General features: G+C 64.3%; 4 protein-coding genes across 40 annotated transcripts, besides 21 other annotated features; 3 read left to right on the top strand and 1 right to left on the bottom strand.

The window, feature by feature from the left end:
* Positions 26-215: an enhancer, noted in NCBI's record as "active region_4286". NCBI's record gives its function as "activates an Ori minimal core promoter by ATAC-STARR-seq in GM12878 lymphoblastoid cells {active_cell/tissue: GM12878}" and the evidence as "EXISTENCE:reporter gene assay evidence [ECO:0000049][PMID:35858748]".
* PIDD1 (p53-induced death domain protein 1) lies at positions 167-10,484 on the top strand. Of its 17 annotated transcripts, XM_011520210.4 has the most exons (17): positions 167-256; positions 3,573-4,489; positions 5,205-5,574; positions 6,081-6,494; positions 6,777-6,986; positions 7,071-7,125; positions 7,272-7,473; positions 7,578-7,703; positions 8,044-8,223; positions 8,303-8,450; positions 8,548-8,683; positions 8,756-8,906; positions 9,002-9,125; positions 9,217-9,335; positions 9,424-9,537; positions 9,654-9,853; positions 10,103-10,484. In XM_011520210.4, exons 3-17 carry the CDS (start codon positions 5,280-5,282, stop codon positions 10,359-10,361), a joined length of 2,733 nt encoding a protein of 910 aa, XP_011518512.1. In that variant the 5' UTR covers positions 167-256; positions 3,573-4,489; positions 5,205-5,279; the 3' UTR covers positions 10,362-10,484. The 17 variants fall into 17 exon arrangements, with proteins under 17 accessions (XP_011518512.1, XP_005253062.1, XP_011518511.1 ...); XM_005253005.6 differs by having other exon boundaries at positions 8,548-8,906; XM_011520209.4 differs by lacking the exon at positions 3,573-4,489 and having other exon boundaries at positions 167-721; positions 9,217-9,284.
* Positions 366-465: an enhancer, noted in NCBI's record as "active region_4285". NCBI's record gives its function as "activates an Ori minimal core promoter by ATAC-STARR-seq in GM12878 lymphoblastoid cells {active_cell/tissue: GM12878}" and the evidence as "EXISTENCE:reporter gene assay evidence [ECO:0000049][PMID:35858748]".
* Positions 476-765: an enhancer, noted in NCBI's record as "active region_4284". NCBI's record gives its function as "activates an Ori minimal core promoter by ATAC-STARR-seq in GM12878 lymphoblastoid cells {active_cell/tissue: GM12878}" and the evidence as "EXISTENCE:reporter gene assay evidence [ECO:0000049][PMID:35858748]".
* Positions 4,089-4,808: a silencer, noted in NCBI's record as "silent region_3034". NCBI's record gives its function as "represses an Ori minimal core promoter by ATAC-STARR-seq in GM12878 lymphoblastoid cells {active_cell/tissue: GM12878}" and the evidence as "EXISTENCE:reporter gene assay evidence [ECO:0000049][PMID:35858748]".
* Positions 4,810-5,507: an enhancer, noted in NCBI's record as "H3K27ac-H3K4me1 hESC enhancer chr11:804161-804858 (GRCh37/hg19 assembly coordinates)". NCBI's record gives its function as "activates a minimal SCP1, AML or CMV promoter by ChIP-STARR-seq in naive and primed H9 embryonic stem cells {active_cell/tissue: H9 hESC(naive and primed)}" and the evidence as "EXISTENCE:reporter gene assay evidence [ECO:0000049][PMID:30033119]".
* Positions 5,169-5,308: an enhancer, noted in NCBI's record as "active region_4283". NCBI's record gives its function as "activates an Ori minimal core promoter by ATAC-STARR-seq in GM12878 lymphoblastoid cells {active_cell/tissue: GM12878}" and the evidence as "EXISTENCE:reporter gene assay evidence [ECO:0000049][PMID:35858748]".
* Positions 5,389-5,458: an enhancer, noted in NCBI's record as "active region_4282". NCBI's record gives its function as "activates an Ori minimal core promoter by ATAC-STARR-seq in GM12878 lymphoblastoid cells {active_cell/tissue: GM12878}" and the evidence as "EXISTENCE:reporter gene assay evidence [ECO:0000049][PMID:35858748]".
* Positions 10,476-12,042, bottom strand: PANO1 (proapoptotic nucleolar protein 1). The gene has a single exon (XM_034751809.2). It carries the CDS (start codon positions 12,040-12,042, stop codon positions 11,395-11,397), a length of 648 nt encoding a protein of 215 aa, XP_034607700.1. The 3' UTR covers positions 10,476-11,394.
* Positions 11,013-11,672: a silencer, noted in NCBI's record as "silent region_3033". NCBI's record gives its function as "represses an Ori minimal core promoter by ATAC-STARR-seq in GM12878 lymphoblastoid cells {active_cell/tissue: GM12878}" and the evidence as "EXISTENCE:reporter gene assay evidence [ECO:0000049][PMID:35858748]".
* Positions 11,013-11,811: a biological region, named in NCBI's record as "H3K27ac hESC enhancer GRCh37_chr11:797857-798373".
* Positions 11,295-11,811: an enhancer, noted in NCBI's record as "H3K27ac hESC enhancer chr11:797857-798373 (GRCh37/hg19 assembly coordinates)". NCBI's record gives its function as "activates a minimal SCP1, AML or CMV promoter by ChIP-STARR-seq in primed H9 embryonic stem cells {active_cell/tissue: H9 hESC(primed)}" and the evidence as "EXISTENCE:reporter gene assay evidence [ECO:0000049][PMID:30033119]".
* Positions 11,387-19,193, top strand: SLC25A22 (solute carrier family 25 member 22). Of its 21 annotated transcripts, none has more exons than NM_001425338.1 (11): positions 11,387-11,451; positions 13,301-13,625; positions 14,499-14,681; positions 14,767-14,892; positions 15,155-15,210; positions 16,049-16,139; positions 16,680-16,798; positions 16,941-17,115; positions 17,210-17,364; positions 17,451-17,526; positions 17,600-19,193. In NM_001425338.1, the coding sequence occupies exons 3-11, from the start codon at positions 14,662-14,664 to the stop codon at positions 17,751-17,753; spliced, it is 972 nt and encodes a 323-aa protein (NP_001412267.1). In that variant the 5' UTR covers positions 11,387-11,451; positions 13,301-13,625; positions 14,499-14,661; the 3' UTR covers positions 17,754-19,193. The 21 variants fall into 21 exon arrangements, with proteins under 21 accessions (NP_001412267.1, XP_047283556.1, XP_047283555.1 ...); XM_047427600.1 differs by having other exon boundaries at positions 11,387-13,075; positions 13,415-13,625; XM_047427599.1 differs by having other exon boundaries at positions 11,387-13,075.
* Positions 12,033-12,202: an enhancer, noted in NCBI's record as "active region_4281". NCBI's record gives its function as "activates an Ori minimal core promoter by ATAC-STARR-seq in GM12878 lymphoblastoid cells {active_cell/tissue: GM12878}" and the evidence as "EXISTENCE:reporter gene assay evidence [ECO:0000049][PMID:35858748]".
* Positions 12,343-12,402: an enhancer, noted in NCBI's record as "active region_4280". NCBI's record gives its function as "activates an Ori minimal core promoter by ATAC-STARR-seq in GM12878 lymphoblastoid cells {active_cell/tissue: GM12878}" and the evidence as "EXISTENCE:reporter gene assay evidence [ECO:0000049][PMID:35858748]".
* Positions 12,473-12,542: an enhancer, noted in NCBI's record as "active region_4279". NCBI's record gives its function as "activates an Ori minimal core promoter by ATAC-STARR-seq in GM12878 lymphoblastoid cells {active_cell/tissue: GM12878}" and the evidence as "EXISTENCE:reporter gene assay evidence [ECO:0000049][PMID:35858748]".
* Positions 12,848-13,366: an enhancer, noted in NCBI's record as "H3K27ac-H3K4me1 hESC enhancer chr11:796302-796820 (GRCh37/hg19 assembly coordinates)". NCBI's record gives its function as "activates a minimal SCP1, AML or CMV promoter by ChIP-STARR-seq in primed H9 embryonic stem cells {active_cell/tissue: H9 hESC(primed)}" and the evidence as "EXISTENCE:reporter gene assay evidence [ECO:0000049][PMID:30033119]".
* Positions 13,103-13,242: an enhancer, noted in NCBI's record as "active region_4278". NCBI's record gives its function as "activates an Ori minimal core promoter by ATAC-STARR-seq in GM12878 lymphoblastoid cells {active_cell/tissue: GM12878}" and the evidence as "EXISTENCE:reporter gene assay evidence [ECO:0000049][PMID:35858748]".
* Positions 13,363-13,432: a silencer, noted in NCBI's record as "silent region_3032". NCBI's record gives its function as "represses an Ori minimal core promoter by ATAC-STARR-seq in GM12878 lymphoblastoid cells {active_cell/tissue: GM12878}" and the evidence as "EXISTENCE:reporter gene assay evidence [ECO:0000049][PMID:35858748]".
* Positions 13,884-14,402: an enhancer, noted in NCBI's record as "H3K27ac-H3K4me1 hESC enhancer chr11:795266-795784 (GRCh37/hg19 assembly coordinates)". NCBI's record gives its function as "activates a minimal SCP1, AML or CMV promoter by ChIP-STARR-seq in primed H9 embryonic stem cells {active_cell/tissue: H9 hESC(primed)}" and the evidence as "EXISTENCE:reporter gene assay evidence [ECO:0000049][PMID:30033119]".
* Positions 13,913-13,992: a silencer, noted in NCBI's record as "silent region_3031". NCBI's record gives its function as "represses an Ori minimal core promoter by ATAC-STARR-seq in GM12878 lymphoblastoid cells {active_cell/tissue: GM12878}" and the evidence as "EXISTENCE:reporter gene assay evidence [ECO:0000049][PMID:35858748]".
* Positions 14,243-14,302: a silencer, noted in NCBI's record as "silent region_3030". NCBI's record gives its function as "represses an Ori minimal core promoter by ATAC-STARR-seq in GM12878 lymphoblastoid cells {active_cell/tissue: GM12878}" and the evidence as "EXISTENCE:reporter gene assay evidence [ECO:0000049][PMID:35858748]".
* Positions 14,921-15,439: an enhancer, noted in NCBI's record as "H3K27ac-H3K4me1 hESC enhancer chr11:794229-794747 (GRCh37/hg19 assembly coordinates)". NCBI's record gives its function as "activates a minimal SCP1, AML or CMV promoter by ChIP-STARR-seq in naive H9 embryonic stem cells {active_cell/tissue: H9 hESC(naive)}" and the evidence as "EXISTENCE:reporter gene assay evidence [ECO:0000049][PMID:30033119]".
* Positions 19,438-19,667: a silencer, noted in NCBI's record as "silent region_3029". NCBI's record gives its function as "represses an Ori minimal core promoter by ATAC-STARR-seq in GM12878 lymphoblastoid cells {active_cell/tissue: GM12878}" and the evidence as "EXISTENCE:reporter gene assay evidence [ECO:0000049][PMID:35858748]".
* Positions 19,578-22,553, top strand: CEND1 (cell cycle exit and neuronal differentiation 1). The gene is made up of 2 exons (NM_016564.4): positions 19,578-19,638; positions 21,010-22,553. The coding sequence occupies exon 2, from the start codon at positions 21,092-21,094 to the stop codon at positions 21,539-21,541; it is 450 nt and encodes a 149-aa protein (NP_057648.2). The 5' UTR covers positions 19,578-19,638; positions 21,010-21,091; the 3' UTR covers positions 21,542-22,553.
* Positions 22,554-23,306: the final 753 nt, after the last annotated feature.

The raw sequence follows: 23,306 nt of genomic DNA, 5'->3' as shown, positions 1-23,306 counted from the left end.
ACCTAGCACCCCCAGCATGCCACGCGGCGCCTACAGCTCCCAACATGGAGCGCGGCCGCCACGCCCGGGACTCAACCTTTGCCAGCGAACTGCAAGTCCCATGGTGCACCGCTGCCGGAAGTGGCCTGCGCCGCGGGCCTACCCGGAACGGCGCGTGGGCCCGGGCAGAAGCTGCTGGCGGTAGGCTCGCCTTGACTCCTTGGTGGTTCCCTGGCCGCGGCGACCGGTGGTCCCACGTCCAGCCGGGCTCAGTGAGGTGAGCCAGCCGCCTCGGACTTAGCGACTGCGGCCCTATCTGGGAGGCCGCCCCCGCACTGCGGTGTCAGGGCATCCTGTCAGAGGACGAGCGCGGGCCTTGGAGGGCAGGACAATGACGTGAGGCAGCGTCGCCCGCTCACCCCTGCGAGGAGTGAGGTCTGAGTGGTCAGCCCCTGCGCTGGCCGCTTTGGCCCGGAACTGACCTCGGTGTCCATGTGGACATCAGCACCTCAGGGACCCCGCTACATTCTCGGGTCCTGGGAGGGAACAGGGTTGGCCCTGCCTCCTAAGGACTTGAGTTCTTGTGCGAGGACGCAGGAGGTGAATAGGGAGGCGATCCGAAGGACAGGGACAGAGGGAGACTTGGTCCTCTGGGCAGCCTGAGAAAGCTTGAGCTGAGAGATGAGAAGGAGCCATCCCTGCCAATATCCCGGGCGAGCACCAGGAACAGGGTCAGATGCAGGTATCTACCGTGTTAGCAGGCAGCGCCAGCTCCCGTTGGGCTCTAACAGCAGTGCAAACCCTGGGGTGTGTATACGTCAAGCACTGGAACTCGACTTCACAGTCGCCTTCTGTGGCCTCGTTATCATTACCCCCATTTTATAGATGAGGCAGTTGGGTACAGAAAGGTTTTTTTGCTCAGGGTCACACATCTGGGGTAAAGGCGGGAAACCATCTTGGGAACAATGGGACTTTTCTTATTTTGTAATTTTTGAGACTGGGCCCCATTCTGTCGCCCAGCCTGGAGTGCAGTGGCTCGATCACAGCTCGCTGCAGCCTCAACTTCCTGGGCTCAGGTGATCCTCCCACCTCAGCCTCCTAGCGGAGACCACAGGCGTGTGCCACCACACCCGGCTAAAATTTTTTGGTAGAGACAGCGTTGTCCAACATGGGCTCAAGCGATCCTCCCACCTGGGCCTCCCAAAGTGCTGGGATTACAGGCGTGAGCTACCGCGCCCGGCCCCAACTTTTTTTTTTCTTTTTTTCTGAGGAGTCCCACTGTTCCCCAGGTTGGAGTGCACTGGTGAGATCTTGGCTCACTGCAACCTCTGCCTCCTGGGTTCAAGCGATTCTCCTGCCTCAGTCTCCTGAGTAGCTGGGATTACAGGCACCCACTACCATGCCCGGCTAATTTTTGTATTTTTAGTACAGACGGGGTTTCACCATGTTGGCCAGGCTGGTCTCAAACTCCTGACTTCAAGTGATCTTCCCACTTCCGCCTCCCAAAGTGCTGGGATTACAGGCACGAGCCACTGTGCCCAGCCCCATCTCACTTTTTTTTTATTATCCCAAACAAACTCTGTACCTATTAAAGTCCCTATTCCCTGCTCCCCCACCCTTGATAAACACATTCTACTTTCTCTTCCTATGATTTTGACAACTGTAGCACCCCGTAAGACTGAAATAATACAGTATTTTGCCTTTTGTGTCTGGCTTTTTTCATTCAGTGTATTTTCAGATTTCAAGTACCTACCTAAAAGGTAGATGCTAAGACAAATTTAATATAAATACAGAGTAGTTTATGTGGGCCAGGCTTGAGGATTGCGTCCTGGGAACATAGATTCAAGTTGCCCTGAATTTACACTTTGAGGAGCAGCAGTTATAAGTGGATTCTATTTATTTATTTATTTTTGAGACTGAGTCTTGCTCTGCCGCCCAGGCTGGAGTGCAGTCGCGTGATCTTGGCTCACTGCAACCTCTGCCTCCCAGGTTCATGCCACTCTCCTGCTTCAGCCTCCCAAGTAGCTGGGACTACAGGCGCCTGCTACCGCGCCCGGCTAAGTTTTTGTGTTTTTAGTGGAGACGGGGTTTCACCGTGTTAGCCAAGATGGTCTCGATCTCCTGACCTCGTGATCTACCCTCCTCGGCCTCCCAAAGTGCTGGGATTAGAGGCGTGAGCCACCACGCCCGGCCTATTTTTTTATTTTTTTGAGACGGAGTATTGCTCTGTAGCCCAGGCTGGAGTGCAGTGGCGCAATCTCAGCTCACTGCAAGCTCCGCCTCCCGGGTTCACACCATTCTCCTGCCTCAGCCTCCCGAGTAGCTGGGACTACAGGCGCCCGCCACCACGCCCAGCTAATTTTTTAGTAGAGACAGGGTTTCACCTTGTTAGCCAGGATGGTCTCGATCTCCTGACCTGATCCACCCGCCTCGGCCTCCCAAAGTGCTGGAATTACAGATGCGAGCCACAGCGCCCAGCCTGTTTTTTTTTTTTTTTTTGAGAGGGAGTCTCACTCTCACCCAAGCTGGAGTGCAGTGCCGAGATCTCAGCTCACCGCAACCTCCGCCTCCCGCGTTCAAGCCATTCTCGTGCCTCAGCCTCCCCAGTAGCTGGGATTACAGGCGCCTGCCACCACACCTGGGTAATTTTTGTATTTTTAATAGACACACGGTTTCACCATATTGGCCAGACTGGGCTTGAACTCCTGACCTCAAGTGATGCGCCCACCTCAGCCTCACAAAATGTTGGGATTACTGGCGTAAGCCACAGCATCAGGCCTGTGGTTGGTTTTTAAAAAGATCTCTTGGCCGGGTGCGGTGGCTCAAACCTGTAATCCCAGCACTTTGGGAGGCCGAGGCGGGTGGATCACGAGGTCAGGAGTTCGAGAACATCCTAGGTAACACGGTGAAACCCCGTCTCTACTAAAAATACAAAAAAATTAGCCGGGCGTGGTGGTGGGCGCCTGTAGTCCCAGCTACTCAGGAGGCTGAGGCAGGAGAACGGTGTGAACCCTGGAGGTGGAGCTTGCAGTGAGCCGAGATCACGCCACTGCACTCCAGCCTCTGGGACACAGCCAGACTCCATCTCAAAGAAAAAAAAAAAAAAGATCCCTCCAGGCCCTACATGGAAGGGGCTGGGGTGAATGGAAGCAGGGAGGCCTGGAAGAGACCTGCCTGTCCCAGAGGGAGGGATGGTGGTAGCTGGGAAATGGAAGGAAGAAGGAGCCGCCGATATGACCTCAGGAAAGAAGCAGGCATAGCTGGTGGTGTCTGTTCCCTCCCTAAACACCTGCTCTCCTGGGCGAGGAAGCTGGTGAATAAAGCACAGGCCCGCTCGGGGGTATCATGTTGGTGGGGAAGGAGGAGCCGCTGATATGACCTCAGGAAAGAAGCAGGCATAGCTGGTGGTGTCTGTTCCCTCCCTAAGTACCTGTTCTCCTGGGCGAGGAAGCTGGTGAATAAAGCACAGGCCCGCTCGGGGGTATCATGTTGGTGGGGAAGGCGGACAGGGCAGATTTCAGGTTCTTGGCTTTGACCCTCACCAGCTACAGGGCCTCGGGCAATATCTGATTTTTTTTTTTTTTTTTTTTCAGACGGAGTCTTGCTCTGTCTCCCAGGCTGGAGTGCAGTGGCACCATCTCGGCTCACTACAACCTCCGCCTCCCGGGTTCACGCCATTCTTCTGCCTCAGCCTCCTGAGTAGCTGGGACTACAGGCGCGCATCACCACGCCCGGCTAATTTTTGTATTTTTAGTAGAGACGGGGTTTCACCATGTTGGCCAGGCTGGTCTCAAACTCCTGACCTCGTGATCCACCCGCCTCGGCCTCCCAAAGTGCTGGGATTACAGGCGTCAGCCACCGCGCCCGCTCAATATTTTATCTCTTAACGCCTCCTTCTCCCCTGCGCGATTGAAGGAGACAGTGCCAGGAGGCTCACTGCTTCTGGCCCAGAGTGATGGCTCGAAAGGAAGGGTCTTTGCAGGCCCAGAGAGGAGGTCCTGGCAGGCTTCCCGGAGGAGGCCGTTTGGGCTGGTTTGGAAAGGACACTGCAATTGTTCCGGCTTGTAGCAGGGGTGGGTGCGGGGCAGCGGCAAGAGTACCCCCGTCACCCCGGCCTGGGAACGCACCTGGGGCCGGGTCTGCCTCGGAGCGGCCCGGGGCCCCGAGAACCTCGGAAAGGGCGGGTTTCGTGGCCTTCCGGGCGGGGGAGGCTGTACGGCTCCGACCCCGCGGACTAACAGGAAGCCGAGCGCTGCTGCGCGGGCGGCTCGGCAGATGGACGGGTCGCGTCCGCGTCTCCGGGGCTGCGACAGGCGGAGGGAAGGCGGGTCGGGGAGGAGCCGGGAGACCTCCCCCGTGGACCCCAGCCCGGCGGAGGGGGCGCGTCCCGAGGGGGCGGGGCCCAAGGGGCGGGGTCTGCAGTCCCCGCCCACCCAGAAACGCGCCGGCGGGATCCCAGGCGCCGAGCGCCCGCTGAGCAGCCACCCTTTGCGCGCCGCCTGCAGCGCAGGTACGCGCCGGCCTGGGCGGGCGGAGGGGGCGGCGGGGACACGTTTGCTTTTGGGAGGCTGGGGGCCGTTCCCATCCCCGACGCCCGGGGGATCCCGAGCCTGCCTCGGGGCTGGGGCCCGCCCCCCACGCCGTCTGAGCGGTGCGCGGTGCACCACCCTCCCCAGTGGACCGAACTGGAAAGGCCGGGAGAGGTTTCCTCCGGGGCTCACGAATTGGGGTCCCGGCCCCAGGACCCCGAAGCTGCCCAATGGCTCACGCCCCAGGCCCTCACCCTTACACGGCCTTCCCTGACTTTCGGGGCGCAGTCACCCCCGCGGTAGGGGAGGGTCACGGCCTTCCTGGTAAAACGGATGTAAATAGAAGGGGGACTCATCTCCAGGACTGGGGAACAGCCCCTATGACCTCGCAGCTCCACGGCTCCATTGGCCAGATTTCCAGGACCAGGACTGAAGCCTCACTACCCCGGCTTTGCTGCTCATAGCGAGGTCTCCCTGCCCGGTGCTCCTGCGAGCCATGGCGGTCCCATTCCCCAACCCTCTTTCCAGTGGTGACCCAGGCCTCCGGGGTTCAGGGTGACCACAAGGTCTCCCCCACTCTGCAGCCCAGGCCCAGATGGCCTGGCTCTAGAGCTCCCCACTCCATCCAGAGTCCCTGTTTCCCCAAAGAGAAGGGCCCACCCCGGCTCCCGCTCACTCCTCCTCCTGCCTCTGCAGCTTCCCCGGGCGCTGCCTGGACAGGCCTGCCTGCGTGCTGGGACATGTCTGGCCTCCAAGGACCGTCGGTGGGCGATGGCTGCAACGGTGGAGGGGCCAGAGCTGGAGGCAGCTGCTGCCGCAGGAGATGCTTCAGAGGATTCGGACGCAGGGTCCAGGGCGCTGCCTTTCCTGGGCGGCAACCGGCTGAGCTTGGACCTGTACCCCGGGGGCTGCCAGCAGCTGCTGCACCTGTGTGTCCAGCAGCCTCTGCAGCTGCTGCAGGTGGAATTCTTGCGTCTGAGCACTCACGAGGACCCTCAGCTGCTGGAGGCCACCCTGGCCCAGCTGCCTCAGAGCCTGTCCTGCCTCCGCTCCCTGGTCCTCAAAGGTGAGTTCCACCTGTTCTGGGCCCTGTCTCCATCTCTCGCTCTGCCCTGCCTCTGCTGCATGTTCTCAAAGGCAAACCCCAGTCCCAGCCCCAGCTCCAGGCCGCCCCTCCCGGCTCCCCAGGTGTGAACTGTTCTGCTCTTGGTCCTGTCCAGCCCCATCGCCATCCTCGGTGATCACCACCCCCAGTGTGGGGCTGGCTGGGCCCTGGCTCCTGGACCCTGACGCTGCCCAGTGGGGGTCTCTCCAGACCACAGTGCAGATGTTGTTCCTGGGGAAGGTTGTGGGTGATGGTTGTCAGCTGAGATGAGCCGGTGGTCTCCACCCCTGCCTCCTTCCATTTGCGGGCACCTCTCCAGTGTTTCTGTCTGTCTGTCCCTGTCTGGCTGGGGTGGGGGTGGGGTGGGAGGTCTGTGCCTCTCGAGCAGCTGTTTCTCTGGCTGGCAGGGTCGATCTGGGACCTCGGACCCTGGCTCTGAGGGCCACATCCGCCTCCCCCCTTCCCAGGAGGGCAACGCCGGGACACACTGGGTGCCTGTCTCCGGGGTGCCCTGACCAACCTGCCCGCTGGTCTGAGTGGCCTGGCCCATCTGGCCCACCTGGACCTGAGCTTCAACAGCCTGGAGACACTGCCGGCCTGTGTCCTGCAGATGCGAGGTCTGGGTGCGCTCTTGCTGTCTCACAACTGCCTCTCTGAGCTGCCTGAGGCTCTGGGGGCCCTCCCCGCCCTCACCTTCCTCACAGTGACACACAACCGCCTGCAGACGCTGCCCCCAGCACTGGGGGCCCTATCCACCCTGCAGCGCCTCGATCTCTCTCAGAATCTGCTGGACACGCTACCTCCTGAGATTGGAGGCCTGGGCAGCCTCCTGGAGCTCAACCTGGCCTCCAACCGGCTGCAGAGCCTCCCAGCCTCTCTGGGTGAGTAGCCCCTGCGCCCCGACACACTGGCCCCACGGGAGGGTCCCTGAAGCCTGCCTGTCTTCTGCAGGGGCCTCTGCACCCACAGGCTTGGTCCACAGCTGCCTCTTGGTTGTCCCTCCACCTCCCTGGCCTTTGAGACTCCCTCAGTGGCTTTGTCAGAGTTCTCTGAGCCCAGCTGTGGAGGAGAGTCTGAAACAGCTGCTCTGGGAGGCGGCAGCAGGAGTGTCCCAGCGCCGTGGGCTGGGCTGGTGCCAAGCCTAAGCCAGCAACTGCCCGCAGCGGGACTTCGGTCCTTGCGGCTCCTTGTCCTGCACAGCAACCTCCTGGCCTCTGTGCCAGCTGACTTGGCCCGCCTTCCACTCCTCACCCGGCTCGACCTGAGGGACAACCAGCTCCGGGACCTGCCCCCTGAGCTGCTAGACGCCCCCTTTGTGCGCCTGCAGGGGAACCCCCTGGGTGAGGCCTCGCCAGACGCCCCGAGTTCACCAGGTAGGCTTGGTGCTAGAAGGGGCAGACCTGGGATAGGACATGAGTCTCCTCACTGTCCTGAGCACATGTCTGTCCCCTGCACAGTGGCAGCCCTCATTCCAGAAATGCCCAGACTGTTCCTGACCTCAGATTTGGACAGGTATGGGGTGGGTTGAGGGGGCTGGAGGGGAGTCTGTCTGCCTGTCACTCTGGCCCCTCCGACACCTTCTCCAGAGTTCCTGGGTCCAGGCTCCAACACGTAGGCCCTTCTGGGTCTAACCTGTTGCTCGCTCCTTCCTCACTCAGCTTTCCTGTGACCCCTCAAGGCTGCTCAGTGACCCTGGCCTGTGGCGTCCGCCTGCAGTTCCCAGCGGGAGCCACCGCCACCCCCATCACCATCCGCTATCGGCTGCTGCTGCCGGAGCCAGGCCTCGTCCCCCTGGGTCCTCATGACGCCCTGCTCAGCCATGTGCTGGAGCTGCAGCCCCATGGGGTGGCCTTCCAGCAGGCATGGACAGGGCGTGGCGGGGGCAGTGTGTGGGCCAGGGCATGGCAGGGGCAGTGTGCGGGCCCGGGCATGGCTCCAGTGCTCACACCATCCTTGTCTGGCAGGATGTGGGGCTGTGGCTGCTCTTCACCCCACCGCAGGCCCGGCGCTGCCGTGAAGTGGTGGTCAGGACCCGGAATGACAACAGCTGGGGTGACCTGGAGACCTACCTGGAGGAAGAGGCACCCCAGGTGAGGGCCACCCAGGCCTGCCGGTGGCGAGTGGAGAGCTGCTGCCCTGAGCCGTGCACCTCTGCCCAGAGCCTCACCCTGGCACCTTCCACCCTGCCCCGTCCCTCCTGGATCCTGCTTCCCTATGTCCCTGGCACCTTCCACCCCACCCCGTCCCTCCTGGATCCTGCTTCCCTGTGTCCCTGGCAACTTCCACCCCACCCCGTCCCTCCTGGATCCTGCTCCCTGTGTCCCTGGCACCTTCCACCCCGCCCCGTCTCTCCTGGATCCTGCTCCCTGTGTCCCTGACTGGCTGTGCCCTGACCCAGGCTCCTGTGACCTCCTCTCTCCCCCATCCCAGCGGCTCTGGGCTCACTGCCAGGTGCCCCACTTCTCCTGGTTCCTTGTGGTTTCCCGCCCTGTGTCCAATGCCTGCCTGGTGCCACCGGAGGGGACACTGCTGTGCTCCTCGGGTCATCCTGGGGTCAAAGTCATCTTCCCCCCTGGGGCCACTGAGGAGCCTCGTCGAGTCTCCATGCAGGTATGGCCAGGACAGCACTGAGGGTGGCAGGCCGCGCCTCAGCCCACAGGCAGGTGCTCAGGGGGCCTGTCTGCCCCAGGTGGTGCGCATGGCTGGCCGAGAGCTGCAGGCCCTCCTGGGAGAACCAGAGGCTGCAGTGAGCCCCCTGCTGTGCCTGTCACAGAGCGGTCCCCCCAGCTTCCTCCAACCGGTCACCGTGCAGCTGCCTCTGCCCTCTGGCATCACAGGTGAGAGGCAGCCATGGGGCATACCTGGACCTGTGGCCATAGGGTGGAGGGGGTCTCCGGCCAGGAGGCCTCAGCTCGCTGCCCCTCCCATCCCCAGGCCTCAGTCTGGACCGCTCCCGCCTGCACCTGTTGTACTGGGCCCCTCCTGCAGCCACCTGGGATGACATCACAGCTCAGGTGGTCCTGGAGCTCACCCACCTGTACGCACGCTTCCAGGTCACACACTTCTCCTGGTCAGTGCCCCCCAGCTTTCTCAGCCCCCCTCCCCCAGTCTGTACAGCCCTCCTCACCCCCAGCTCTCCCAGGTACTGGCTCTGGTACACCACCAAGAACTGTGTGGGAGGCCTGGCTCGGAAGGCCTGGGAGCGGCTGCGGCTGCACCGTGTGAACCTCATCGCTCTGCAGCGGCGCCGGGACCCTGAGCAGGTCCTGCTGCAGTGCCTGCCCCGAAACAAGGTGGGGGCACGGGCCGGAGGGCAGCAGGGTGGTGACCAGAGGGCTGGGGTGGGGTGCAGAGCTTTGGGTCCTGAGCTGCACGGGCTTCCCCGCAGGTGGACGCCACCCTTCGGCGGCTGCTGGAGCGGTACCGGGGCCCCGAGCCCTCTGACACGGTGGAGATGTTCGAGGGCGAAGAGTTCTTTGCGGCCTTCGAGCGCGGCATCGACGTGGATGCTGGTAGGGATGCTGGTGGATGCTCCCTGCCCTGGAGGGGGAGCCTTACCGTCCTCCCCGAGCCCTCCTTGCTCAGCCCACCCCTGTCCCCTAGACCGCCCTGACTGTGTGGAGGGCAGAATCTGCTTTGTCTTCTACTCGCACCTGAAGAATGTGAAGGAGGTATACGTGACCACCACTCTGGACCGGGAGGCTCAGGCTGTGCGGGGCCAGGTGGGCGAGGGGAGTGGGTGAGGGGAGAGGCCCCCCAGGCCGCTTGGGCAGAGGACCGAACTCCGAACCCCATTCGATGCCCCTTCAGGTGTCCTTCTACCGTGGCGCGGTGCCTGTGCGGGTGCCCGAGGAGGCTGAGGCTGCCCGGCAGAGGAAGGGCGCAGACGCCCTGTGGATGGCCACTCTGCCCATCAAGCTGCCGGTGGGACTGAGGGACAGCAGAGGGGCGGGGCAGGACCGAGGCCCAGGGGTGACCAGGGTGACATGGTGGAGTTGGGGGTGGAGCCCAGGGCTTAATGCACTTTTTCCTTCCAACAGAGACTTCGAGGGTCCGAGGGGCCACGGCGGGGGGCTGGCCTCTCCTTGGCACCCTTGAATCTGGGAGATGCCGAGACCGGCTTTCTGACGCAGAGCAACCTGCTGAGTGTGGCTGGGCGTCTGGGTCTGGACTGGCCAGCCGTGGCCCTGCACCTGGGGGTGTCCTACCGGGAGGTGCAGCGCATCCGGCACGAGTTCCGGTGAGGCTCCCACTGCCCGCTGGCTGCCAGCCCCAGGGCTGAGCCCTGGCTGCCTGGAGGGCCCACCTGATTCTGACAGAAGTTTCTTCCAGGGGAGGTGGGGGAAGGGCAAACACCAGGCTGGAAAGGAAAGGTCTGGCCGCACCTGGCCCCAGGAGCCGGGAACTCCCCCACACTCCGAGGCAGAGTGTGGTGGGGGGTCCTGGGCAGGTGGACAGGACCCCTCTGTCGCCCATCCTCTGCCTGCAGGGATGATCTGGATGAGCAGATCCGTCACATGCTCTTCTCCTGGGCTGAGCGCCAGGCTGGGCAGCCAGGGGCTGTGGGGCTCCTGGTGCAGGCCCTGGAGCAGAGTGACCGGCAGGACGTGGCTGAAGAGGTGCGCGCAGTCTTGGAGCTCGGCCGCCGCAAGTACCAGGACAGCATCCGACGCATGGGCTTGGCCCCCAAGGACCCCGCTCTGCCTGGCTCCTCGGCTCCACAGCCCCCAGAGCCTGCCCAGGCCTAGGCCCCACAGACTTTTAGGCTGGCCCAGATATTCCCCAGTGGATGGGCAGAGCCCCCACCTTCAAGTCTCTCCAGTGTGTGGGGACGGGTCCCTGTGAGCAACAAAACTGCACTGTTTCTTTCACCTCAGAGCTTGATTTATTTGTTGGATGGAGAAGCCGTTGGAGGGCGGAGGGTGGTGGGGTAGAGGCCTGGCCCCTGCGGGGAGGGAGGCCTGTGTGCACAGGTGCCCCACATCCTGGTCCTGTCCTCTCCCACTGTGCCTGGGGCCTCCTGTGGGTCCTCATCTTCCTGGGAGGGAGGAGCTGTGCTACAAAGTAACCCACATGGGCTACTTTTTTTTTTTTTTTAAATGGAGTTTCTGTCACCCAGGCTGGAGTGCAGTGGCATGATCTCAGCTCACTGCAACCTCTGCCTCCCAGGTTCAAGCGATTCTGCGTCACCCTCTCAAGTAGCTGGGACTAGGGCACTTGCCACCACGCTGGCTAATTTTTGTATTTTTAGTAGACGGGGTTTCACCATGTTGGCCAGGCTGGTCTCGAACTCCTGACCTTAAGTGATCCGCCTGCCTCGGCCTCCAAAAGTGCTGGGATTGCAGGTGTGAGCCACTGCGCCCAGCCCCAAGTGGGGTGCTTTGGATACAAAGTCGCTGTTCGGCGGGTGGGGTTGTGCCTCCACTTCTCCATTGCGCTGGCCCAGCAGTTCCACGGATCACCTGTGTCTGCCCTGGAGGCCACGCCTCCCCCAGGGCACCCTCATCCACCGGCGCTCTGCCACCTGCCCGCGCCCCGCGGGTCCTTGTGCCTGCAGGGGCCTGAGGCCCGGAAACCAAGAAAGGACCTTGGGGACGCGCGGCCCGGCCTCTGCGCGCAGAACTGCCACCCTGCCCGGGGGAACCCACGGCCAGGGGGCGGGTGGGCGCGTGGCTGTGGCCTGGCTGGGCGCAGTAGCCTCGACGGCCAGGAGGGGGAGCCGAAGCCCGGAGGAGGCCGAGGGCGGAGCGCGCGCGGCGCCGAGCGGACGCGCCTCCCCGCCTAGGTGCTGGCCGAGCGCGGGGCGGGCAGGCGAGCGCGGCGGCGGCGGCGAGCGTGGTGAGTGTCTGCCCGGCGGCTCCCTTCTGCTGCGCCCATCCGAACGCGGCCGGGCTGCGGGGGCGAGAGGTGCTGCGGCGGCCGAGGGAGGTGACAGCTGCCCGAACAACGTGGCCTGGCGGGCGGGAGGGGGGGTCCTGGACCAGCGGATGCTCCGATCCGCGGCTGCTCTGGCGTGAGACGCCGTGCTCGGCCCCGACGGTTCCGGGCGCGCTCCCCGCACATACGTGTCCCCGAGGGTGGGTGTCCGGGGCCCGAGCCCAAGGAAGAAAGGCCGACCCGTGTGGGACGCACACGTGGGAGTTCACCGGACATCTGTGGACACGTGCGTGGCCGGAGTCGCGGTGGCCAGGCGGAGGACGGAGCGGTCGGCTGAGCCCCAGCAGTAGGGCAGGGGCCTGAGCCGGCCTCCGAGCGCAGAGAGCGGCCCCCAACCCGCTTCTCCTTTGTCCTCTGGCCGAGGCATCGCGCAGTTGGAGTCCCCTTCCGGGACCCTCCAGCCAGCAGGATAGAAAGCACCGCCCCAAGAGGACGGGGACAGCGGGAGATTGAATGGGGAGCCGCCGGCCAGACTCGGAGCCTCACCCCCATTGCCTTTCTTGGGGGTAGGAGGAGCCTGGCGGCTTCTTGGGTGGAGGATTTTACCCCTGCAGATTCGGAAGCAGCGGTATCTTCCTGTGGGGTGGTCTCTGCTCTCCTGCTGTCTCCCTGGCTTGCCTGTGGCCTCAGTTCACCTGACTATGAAGGGGGGACAGTGACGGCTCACAGCCCGGGGCCCGGCTGGGGCTGCAGGGTTTCTATAGCAACATCAGTGCAGGGGGAGGGCCCTGGCCAGCTGTCTCATAAACCAGGGGTGGGAACTGCCGAGTGAGGGCAGAGAAAGGCGGGGTTGGCGTTCAGAGGGAACCCCTGCCGGTTCTTCCCCAGGCAGAGCCCCTCACTGTCATCATTCTCCACCCAGAAGCTCCTCTCCGCTGCACTGGGTGACGTGCGGGCCCAGGCCTGCCTCTCCGCCCTGGGATCTCTGGGCCTGCTTCTCTTCTTGGGACGAATGGCCGCTCCCCACCTCGGTCGGCCTGACTTCCAGGATTGCCCCTATCATGCAGGTGTCCTCATCCCAGACTGGAGATAGGCTCCCAGGAGGAAGGGGGTTGCTCAGTCCCTGGAGGGCCAGGGTACACCCCTGGGAGGGACTAGAGTGGAGATGAAGGGCCCAGCGCAGCCCGGAGAGCTGTGGCCAGTCTGCACCCGAAGAGTGGGGCGGCAGGGGTGGGGGGGGCTAGGAGGGATCAGGTAGAAGTTCAGAGGTCAGCTTGTCACCACCACTGGCTGAGGCAGGGAAAGGCAGGTCTGACGGTGAAGCCCTGAGTGGGACGGGTGGTGGGGCAGAGGGCTCTGGGCATGCCAGCTCGTGTGCCCTCTGGACCTGCCAGGTGAGCAGGGCCTGTGGGTGGCAACAGTGGCCTCTGGCACCCAGCTAGCTCTTCCCTGTGGACAGCAGGCCTTTTTTGTGGCCCAGCATGAGGCTTCCCTGACATGCATCTGCCCCTAGCAGACACACATCCCACAGACACGAGTGGGTGTTAGCCCATCTCTGCTCCACAGCACCGGATTCCCTGTCCAGGTACATACAGGGTACCCTGGCCCGGAGAAAGCCTCATTCTCAGAGTACCAGCCCTAGACAGATCCAGGCCAGGAAATGCTATAGGGTTCAACCCACAGGCAGCAGACAGGAACACATGTGTGCTGGGGGTGTGGTGGCCACGCGCTGAGGTCCCTGTCGGTGGGTGGCCTCGCTGTGCCAGGTCAGCCTGAGTCAGACCCACCCCTGCTCATCTCTCCTCTCAAGGCTGCCGGAAGCCTCTGCTTGCCCAAAGTGAAAGAGAAAGTGCCCCCCCACCCAAGCCCGCCCCACCCCGCCCCACGGCCAATCCCTGCGGCCCCTCGCCTCCTCCCCCGGCAGCTTCCCCTTCTGTGTGAGTGCTGGGCTGGAGTGTGGAAGAGCCATCCAGAGTGAGTGCCTGGGGCAGAGTGAGAGCAGGACCAGCGGGCAGGTGGCGGAGCGGGGGTCGGTGGTGGATGGCCCAGCCCTGGAAAGCCGAGGTGAAGGTTACGAGTCCCTGAGGATCTGTGGGTGTGAGCCAGCCGCGTGGCCCTGGGCAACGGCGCTGCCGGTGGGTGAAACAGCTGGCCTCTGGGGGGCCCAGGGAGGGGGGAAAGGCCCCCGAAGCTGGGATTTTATGGCCATGACCCTATGGGAGGCCCCTGAGGCTGGCTGTGGCTCCCCAGCCTTGCTGCTTAGTGGGAGAGGCCTGTCCTCTCCTCCTCTGTAGTGGATGGGGGTGCCAGCCACAGGGGGCCTCAGAAGGCCAGCCATCCCCCACCCCCAAGGCTTCCAGGGGTCCCATCACTGGCTTCTGTGTGTCCATGAGTGAAACTCCTGGGAGGGGTGGAGGGGAGGAAGGGGCGGGCAAGGGGCTGGCTGTGGGGGGTGTGGGCATCGTGGGGAGGAGCTCTGCAGGCCCTAGGTGGAGCTGCCATGGGAGGAGAGCTATACCTGGGATAGCTGAGCCCAGGTCGGGGGGTCTTAGGGCGCCCGGGACCCCAGCCCCTAGCTCGAAGGGGGCAGGTGCCGGCTGCTGCTCTCTCTGTGCTGAAGGATGTGGGGGATGGTCACCACAGCTGTCCAGGTCGAGGTGCTCCGGTAGGCACCCTGGCCCCGGCCCCTGGCACTGCCCCCAGAGGTGCCTGGCCCTTTAAAAGCCGGAGCTGGCTGGGGTGCACGTGAGCCCCGAGCGTGAGCGGCGTGTGAGGCTGGCTGGGAAGACGCTGGCGGTGGGGAGGGGGGGACTGAAAGGAAGCCAGGTGGTCCCAGGGGTGAGCATGGGACTGGGTGGCAGGTGCCTCCCGCTGCTGCACCCTCAGGACGCAGTGACGGCTTCAGTCTGGGGTGGTGGGTGAGGGGCTGCGTGAGAGAGGGAGGCTGGGGGAGGATTACTCTTCGGGTGGCCCCACCCTCACTCATTCCCATTCCCTCATCCTTCTAGGACAGAAGTGGCGGTTGCTGACGCCTGGAAATTCCCCTGAAGGTGGAGCACCACCCAACCCCCCTGGGTCCCACCCTCCCTCAAGGCCTCCTCCACCTCCACCTCCACCCCGCCTGGCCTGGCGTCCACCTCTGCGGCTCCTACCTGGGTGCAATCGAGTTAAATGGCTGATAAGCAGATCAGGTCAGACTCCAGTCCTGGCTGCGTGCCTCACCCCCACCCTGACCCATGGTCAAGGAAGCCGGTCCTGACACCCCTGTCCACACAGCCTGCCAGCCAAGCTCATCAATGGCGGCATCGCCGGGCTGATCGGTGTCACCTGCGTGTTTCCCATCGACCTGGCCAAGACCAGGCTGCAGAACCAGCAGAACGGCCAGCGCGTGTACACGAGCATGTGAGTGTGCCGGGCGGTCGCGGGGAGTGGGCCCAGCATGTGGCAGCAGGAGAGGTGGGGGCTCTGCTCCTGTGCCCCCCACCCTGTTTGACAGAAGGGAAACGGGAGGCAGGCGGGCCTAGGGGAGATCCCACGTGGGTCAGGACTGGGGTCGGGGCTGGGCTGAGGACTTGGCCTCTTCTATCAGCCCTAGACAGTCCAGGGACCCTGGCCTCCGGCTGGCCCCAGCTGGCCCTGGCTCACCCTGTCCCCTTGGCCACAGGTCCGACTGCCTCATCAAGACCGTCCGCTCCGAGGGCTACTTCGGCATGTACCGGGGTGAGGTTTGGCTCGGCTGGGCTCGATATGGGCAGGCCTGGGTAGCGCCCGCGAGTCGTGGCAGGGAGCGGTGGGGGAGGCAGGGCAGGGCGGCCAGCCTGGGCCTGGTGTGTGAGCGTGGACGTGTTTGTGGGGGCTGTGCCTGTGCAGGGGGGACTGGATCTCTGGTGAGTGGTAGTTCTCAGCCTCTCCCGTGGCAGCTCCCCACCCCCACTTAGTGCCTGGTGCGTGGGATGCCATGGTACATCTGTCTCTTCTCTGGTGGCCACAGCTGCCTCTGCCTTCTGGGCCAGGCTGGACCCCGTTTGTGGCTGGGGATGGGAGGGAGTAAGGGGCATTACCGCAAAGCAGCTTAGGACACAATCCAGAGCCTAGATTTGGCAGAAGCTCTCCAGCCCTGAGCCTTCGGCACTGAGATGGGGGCTCTCCACAGCCTCCCCCGAGCTCTGGCCCAGTCCAGACCACACACTCCTGTGACCTCTGGCCCCAGCCCCCTGCCAGCACAAGCACCATCTGTCCTCCAGGGAGGGAGAGGTATCCTAGGGAGGCCTCAGGGGCTCCGGGGCAGTCCTCATGCCCTGAGCAGCAAGATGCTGCCCAGAATCAGAGACAGATGGAGCTGCAGTGGGCATGGGAGAGCCTGAGCCTGAGGTGCTGCCCCATCCCTGCCTGGCCCCGCCCCACCTGGCACACACCAGGCCCAAATGTGGGTGAGAGAACAGATGGTGGCCAGGAGTGACTGGGACAGGGTTTTGCCAGCCAGGAGGCAAGTCCTGGCCAAGCGCCTCCCCACTCAGGCCACCGAGCATGTCCCCCCAGCTGACCCCCTGCCCCACAGGAGCTGCTGTGAACTTGACCCTCGTCACCCCCGAGAAGGCCATCAAGCTGGCAGCCAACGACTTCTTCCGACATCAGCTCTCTAAGGACGGGTGAGGGTTCTGCCTGGCAGACACTCGAGGGGTCTTTGGCTTCAGATAAAGGATGGGTCCACCCTGCCAGCTGGGTCCCACCTGGGGGCTCTGCCTGTCTTCAGCCCCTTGCTTGGGGCTTCTTTGACCTCGTGGGGCACCCTCCCTCCTTTCCCCTGACCAGGGGAGCAAAGCAGATGTCAAATCAGTGGGGCTCTGGCTTGGTAGCCCTTGGCCTGAGGGCACTGACCAGCTCCCCCATCACTGGAGGGGGACTGCAAGGGCAGCCCCTTTTTGGGGCACTTGACCCCCAATTTCCCATTTTCCTTTGTCGCAGACAGCCCCACTGCCCTCCCCAGGCCCCTGCCTGTGGGGCCGTCTGTCCATCGGTCTCCTCCCTGCCTGCTGCTGCAGTGGCGGAGGCTGGGGGCTGTACCCCCACAGGCCTGCATCTGCCTCCACGGCTCCCACCATCCTCTGCGCCCAGGCATGGTGGGCAGCCCCGAGGGTGGCAGGTAGACCTGTCTCTTCCCACTTACTGCGGCCCCGCCCCTACCACAGGCAGAAGCTGACCCTGCTTAAAGAGATGCTGGCGGGCTGTGGGGCTGGCACCTGCCAGGTGATCGTGACCACGCCCATGGAGATGCTGAAGATCCAGCTGCAGGATGCAGGGCGCATTGGTGAGGGCGGGGGGAGGGGGAGGAGAGGGCAGAGGTGCGGGAAGAGGTGAGGGCGAGGGGAGGGTGGGGACGCAGGGAGGGCCAGAGCGTGTCCCCTGCCCAGTTCGCACAGAAGAGGAGACAGCAGCCTCTTTGTCCCCAGCCGCCCAGAGGAAGATCCTGGCTGCCCAGGGCCAGCTCTCGGCCCAGGGGGGTGCCCAGCCCTCAGTGGAGGCTCCAGCTGCCCCTCGGCCCACGGCCACCCAGCTGACCCGCGACCTGCTGCGGAGCCGTGGCATTGCCGGTCTCTACAAGGGACTCGGGGCCACGCTGCTCAGGTAGGAGGCACAGGGCAGGTGGGGGGAGGGAAGGGGGAGGCCGGCCTGCCCACCCCACCACCTCCTGTCCCCACGGCCACCTCCCTCCCCACAGGGATGTCCCCTTCTCTGTGGTGTACTTCCCGCTCTTTGCCAACCTGAACCAGCTGGGCCGCCCGGCGTCCGAGGAGAAGTCGCCTTTCTACGTGTCCTTCCTGGCCGGCTGTGTGGCTGGGAGTGCCGCCGCTGTGGCCGTCAACCCCTGTGATGGTCAGTGCATGGGATGGCGCCCGGCTGGGGATGGGGCGGGACTGAGCCCTTGGCCAGGCTCACACTGACCCGAGCGCCCCTTGCAGTGGTGAAGACGCGGCTCCAGTCACTTCAGCGAGGCGTCAACGAGGACACCTACTCTGGGATCCTGGACTGTGCCAGGTGGGGAGGTCCCACGGCGGGTGGGGCCTGGGGGCCTGCGTACCGGGCTGACCCTTTCGTCCTTCCTCCACAGGAAGATCCTGCGGCACGAGGGCCCCTCGGCCTTCCTGAAGGGCGCCTACTGCCGCGCGCTGGTCATCGCGCCCCTTTTCGGCATCGCACAGGTGGTCTACTTCCTGGGCATCGCGGAGTCCCTGCTGGGGCTGCTGCAGGACCCCCAGGCCTGAGCCCAGCACCCGCTCCACCCCAGCCAGCTGGGCAGGGCCGGTGTGGGGCTGGAGCCAGGCAGCTAGCCCAGGACGGAGCAAGGGAAGACCCCTCCCCAGCCCTCCCGTCGGCAGGGGCAGCAGGGGGCAGGGTGCAGGGTCCACATAGGTGGTGCACACGCAAGCCCCCCGGGGTGCTGCCTGCACCGTTGGGATCAATGTCTCATTTATGTAGAAAATGCAGAAATCTTTACATTCCTCAAGCTAGCCCCTGCCCCAATCCTGCCCTGGCCTGAACACCCCCAGGGACAGAGCTGGTCTCTGGGCTGGGGGCCCCCGGGCCTGGGCCGGGCAGGCTGGACCATACCCCCAGTCCACCAGCTCCAGTCTCCACAGCCATCCTGGCCCACACAGGCACCCCACACAAACCTATTTATTGAATCTGCTGGACCCAAGCGGCTCTCCAGCCCTTCCGTCCTTCCCCAGCCGCTCTTGTCGCCTTGGCAGGACTTGACTCTGCCTCCCTGGCCAGCCTTGCAAGAGGACTGGGGTCTCCTGCCCTCTCTGTTGAGCCAGGAATCCCAAGTGAGGGGTTGCCCTGAGGTCTGACTCTTGGGGCAAGCCCGCCACCCACTGTGGGACTTTCTGGTGGGCTCCTCAGCTCCCACCCCAGGCTGGGGCCCAGATTGTGAGGTCTGTGTGCATGTGTGTGTGTATGTGTGTGTGCATGCGTGTGTGTGTTGTGGGGATCTGGCCTGGCCCTTGGGGATGGGGCTGCTGGGGACTGCCCCCCTTCCCGCCGTGGCCAGGCGCTCTGTGTGCTGTGTGTGCCCCAGGCTCTGTTGACCCCGTCCAGGAACTAACTTACCCAGCTTGGTCTCTCCTGAGTCCTCCACCCTGGCCTGGGATTGGCCAGGGAGCAGGGCGGGCATTGGGACCAGTGTGGAGCCTGAGGGTGCCTGCCCTGCTCTGGAGGGAGGGCCAGGAGCTGCCACACCCCCAAGTCCTCTCAGGGCCCACCCTCCTTTTTCAGCCTCTGCATAAGGCCCCTGGGTACACTGCAGAAGCCCCATCCTTCCCGCCTCCGGGCATAAGGCCCCTGACCACACTTCAGAAGCCCCATCCCCCCTGCCACCGGGCGATCCCTGCTGTGAGCCGAAGCTCTCCCTGCCCCGCCCTGGCCATGTGATCGTGTTGGTGACAGACCCTGATGTGCTGGTGCTGTGTCCCCAAAACCGGGGCCCTCCACAGAGGCCCCTTCCCAGCGACACTACCTGGGGCTCAGGCCTGGACCCCCCCAGTTCACGGTTGCTCCTGGGAGCTGCCCCTCCCGTCACATCAGAACCTTGGAAGCTGCTGCTGCTGCTTACAGAATTATATTTTTTTCTTTTGAAGAGTTTTAAGAAGTTGTAACTTTTTGTGTCTTGTCATGTCAGAGAATAAATAAATATTCTAAGTAGATGCTGCTGTCTGTCTGGGGGTCTGTTTGGGGGCGGGGGAGGGCAGTCCCCTCTTCCCATAACTGGCTCCCTTCAGACTGCAGGGCTAGGCCTGCGCACCCACCCACCGACCCCTCACCCACCGACCCGTCACCCACCGACCAAGGGGCACCCTGGCCTAGAGGGGATGCTGAGCGGGACCCGCCTCCTGCCTCTGGCAGTCCCAGATGGGACTTGGACCCCGCAGTTGCTCTCTCGGACCCTAAGTTTCTACCCCTGGATCTAAGGCGGAGCTGGGTTTGCGGATCCCACGGTTCCCGGCGGGGCGGGGCCCGGTCGCCCCTCCCCCTCCCCGCCCTCCTGCGCCGGGAGCAGTGCATTGTGGGAAACTCCCGAGCTCTCCTCCGCGTTCGCAGCCGCCGTCATCCCGCGGAGGAGCGCGCAGCCCCGGGGAGGCCGGAGGACGCGTAAGGCGGGGGGCTCCCGGCGGGCGGGGCGGGCGGGGCGGGCGCGGCGTCCTGCGGGGCGAGGAGGCGGCTCCGGGCCTTGAAGGTCACTGGGTTTGCGCGCGGGCCCCCCAGTTCTCCAGGGCTCAGTTGATCCCGGGAGAGGGAGGCGGCGGCCGGGATGTAAGTGCCACAAATAGCGAGGTTGGGGGGGCAGACCACCTGCTCTTTGCAAACTTGATGCCCAGCAGCTGAGCCCCCCGAGAACTGCAGGGGTGAAGGGACGGCTGGGCTTCCCTGGGAGGTGGCAGCAGCTGGGCCTCTTCTGGAGACGCCCTCATCATGCTGTGACCTTCGGGTGACCTTCAGTGTGGTCAATGCACCTGGCGGGGGGTGGGGAACGTGCCTCCCTTTCTCTGCAGGTCTGGAGGGCATTTCTCATCCTTCCCTGGGAGAGGCAGACAGGCGGCCTCTGGGGCTTTGGGGCAAGACCCACTCAGGTTCAGGGCGGCTGGGCCCCCAGGGCCCTTCCCACCTCTGCCTCGGTCATTGAGAATCTGGGCACCGCCTTTCCCACAGCCCAGAACCCTGTCCTCCGCCCTGACCCGCGGGCCAAGTGCAGCATGTGCCCACCCTGTTTAACGCCAGGAACCCTCTGCCCACAGAGACAGCACAGCCTTGGGCTGGGCGAGGACTCCCTGCTCCAGGGCTGGAGGCAGGCACGGCCCATGCTGAGGAGGGGGCCCCAGAGGCTGGGGAGGGGCAGACGGCCCTTGGAAGCACAGCCCCACGCTGACTTCCTGGAGAGACACCCCAGTTTTCTCAAGTCTGGGTTCTTGTGGGCCCACCCACCCTGATGGCTGCCTGAGATCCCAGCTCCTGCCCCTCCCCGCCCTCCTCCCCCTGGGACCCTGGCCAGGTCACAGCCTCCGTGCTTTAGTGTCCATCTCTGCAAAGCAGGAATGCTCTCCTGAGGAGGGGATGCAGTCAGCTCTCCCACTGGGGCTCCGATCACCTCCTTGGAGGGGAGAATGCTCTTCCTTCGAGTTCTCTGGGCCTGATCCTTACTTCCCCACCAAGAGCCTCCTGCCCCCGGCTGGTGGGAGGATGTGGCATTTGCATGGGCCATTTTATGGAGCACAGTGGGGTCCCCTACCTCCTCCCACCTGTGCGTGGCCCTTGCCTCTGCGGCTGGAGGGGCCCCTTGAGGAGTGGTCATGGACAGATGGAGTCCAGGCCGTGAAAGAGAAGTGTCAGAGGCCCACGGGAGGCCCCTGAGCTGGGGCTCCAGAGAGTCCAGAGAACTGGGCAGGGGCTGCCTGGGGACCAGGTGGTCGGGGCAGCACAGGGGGGACTGGACCCGCGCGCAGCCTCCCTTGTGTCTCCCTCCAGGCCCATAGAATGCCCAGGGGCGACAAACTGTCCTGAGCCCCTCTGGTGCAGCCACCTGCCTGTCCCATACGCCCCGCCCACCATGGAGTCCAGAGGGAAGTCAGCCAGCAGCCCCAAGCCCGACACCAAGGTGCCCCAGGTCACCACCGAGGCCAAGGTACCCCCGGCAGCCGATGGGAAAGCCCCCTTGACCAAGCCCTCGAAGAAGGAGGCCCCGGCCGAGAAGCAGCAGCCGCCAGCAGCCCCCACCACGGCACCTGCCAAGAAGACCTCGGCCAAGGCCGACCCTGCCCTTCTCAACAACCACAGCAACCTGAAGCCAGCCCCCACGGTCCCCAGCAGTCCCGATGCAACCCCGGAGCCCAAGGGTCCTGGGGACGGGGCGGAGGAAGATGAGGCTGCCAGTGGGGGGCCTGGGGGCCGAGGTCCCTGGTCCTGTGAGAACTTCAACCCCCTGCTGGTGGCTGGGGGTGTGGCCGTGGCAGCCATAGCCCTGATTCTCGGTGTGGCCTTCCTGGTCCGGAAAAAATAATACCTGGGGGCCAGGCGGGGGGCACGGAGCCACTTCCTGTACAGACCCGAGGAAGCCAGTGCATGCAGAGTTCACCCTTACCTATTCGTACACACGCACATTCATTACACACCTACATACGCCCCCAACACACGCGCACGGTGAAGAGGACGCCCGAGCCCACCCCTGCTGACCCAGGACTTCCCCAACCTCCAGGGCAGAAAGAGCCCAGGCTCCGGGGTCCACAGCACAGGATGTGGGGCGAGGGCACAGCTGGGGAACGGCAAGAAAGGAATGGACCCTGTGTGTGGCCCCCCCCACCCCTGGCGGCTGGGTGATCCTGGGCCCCCAGGGCTGGTCTGAGTGCAGGTGGGGGTGCCGGGATGGGTTGGGCCTGGGCCCGGCCCTCGTGGGGACATTAAAGGGCGCGGTGGCTCCACTCGCCCCATTTCTGCTCTTTGCGTACCCCCCGGGGGTCTGCCTGGGCGAATGCAGTGGGACGGACCTGGGGTGGGCACTCACCTCAGCAGAGCCTCAATGCCACCTCCCCACACCACCCAAGCCTAGCTGGGTGGGAAGACGGAGCCCTGAAGCCTGCGTGTGGAGGGGGTGCTGCCCAAGGGTCGCCTTCCCCAGCTTGTGCTCCAGGGGAGCCCCGACGCCGGCGGGGAGGCAGGGATGTCGAGGGCCCCTCACAGCTGTGCCCGCCCTGCCCCGCTAGACTGCCCCTCCAGCTTGCACCCAGCACCACCTGAGTCTAACCAGCGTATAATGCAATAACAGGTAGAGTAGAACTGCTTTTGGCGGCGACCGTCACACACTGTCCTCAGCCCACTGCACCTGGGGAAGCCCCTCGTGCAGCCCCTCCTTAGCACATCCAGTCCCAGCGTGGCCCTTGGCGCGCAGCAGCAGGCGAACTCCCAGAAGGTGGTGGTGGGCACTGTGAGAACGTGGCCTGCCCTCACTGGCCAGTGGCCACAGGAACCCCGGGCCTGAGTGGAGGCTGAGTCTGAAATAAACTCTGTCGTCTGAAGGCTGCTCTTGCATCCTCATCTGCATGTGGCTGGGAGACGCAGGGTCGCATGTGTCACGCCCACACCCCAGGCTTTCCAGGGAGGGATGCTGCATCCAGGACCCTCTGACGGGACCCCCTGTCACTCCTATGCCCTTATTCCAGGGGCCTCGGCCCGGATCGCCACCCAGGCCCTGCTCCATCCTCCTCCCTGGCCTTCCTGTGGGTCCTGACCCAAGATGGACACCCAGGGGCTACAGGACCAGGAAGCAGTGAGGACATGGGGTGCGGGGAGGGCAAGCCCTGCTTCTCAGGCTGAGCTCTCCAGCCAGGCAGGGGCCCTTCCGCAGCCCCCACTGCAGCGAGCCCCACATCCTGAGTGCAGAAGAGGCTCCCCTCAACACCTCTCATCCATGGACCCCAGCCCACTCTGACCAGGTGTCCAACCGGCGGGCCTGCTGGTGGGCCTGGCCACGGGTGGGGCTGCAGCATGCGGGCCAACAAGCAGCAAGGCCTGCGGTGCCTGGGAAGGGCTCCTTTGAGCTCTGTCTTCCTGGCTCTGGGTCTCACCCGACAGGTGGCTGAGGCCAGCAGACAAGAGCTCCCTGACCACCTCCTCCCCCAAGCCTTCTTCCAGCTGGTGTGGGGGGACAGCCATGTCTTCCTCCTGCCCTTCTGGCACCTGGCACACTCCCTCCCCAGAGCAGCAGTCCTCGTTCATGCACCCACACCCAGGCCCAGACAGATACGGAGGTCCCACGGGGTAGAACCAGC

Source organism: Homo sapiens, chromosome 11 (assembly GCF_000001405.40).
Source record: "Homo sapiens chromosome 11, GRCh38.p14 Primary Assembly".
In the NCBI taxonomy this organism is placed as follows: Eukaryota; Metazoa; Chordata; class Mammalia; order Primates; family Hominidae; genus Homo; species Homo sapiens.
Note: the sequence above shows the minus strand (reverse complement) of the source record. Positions and strands in the feature narration are given on the sequence as shown.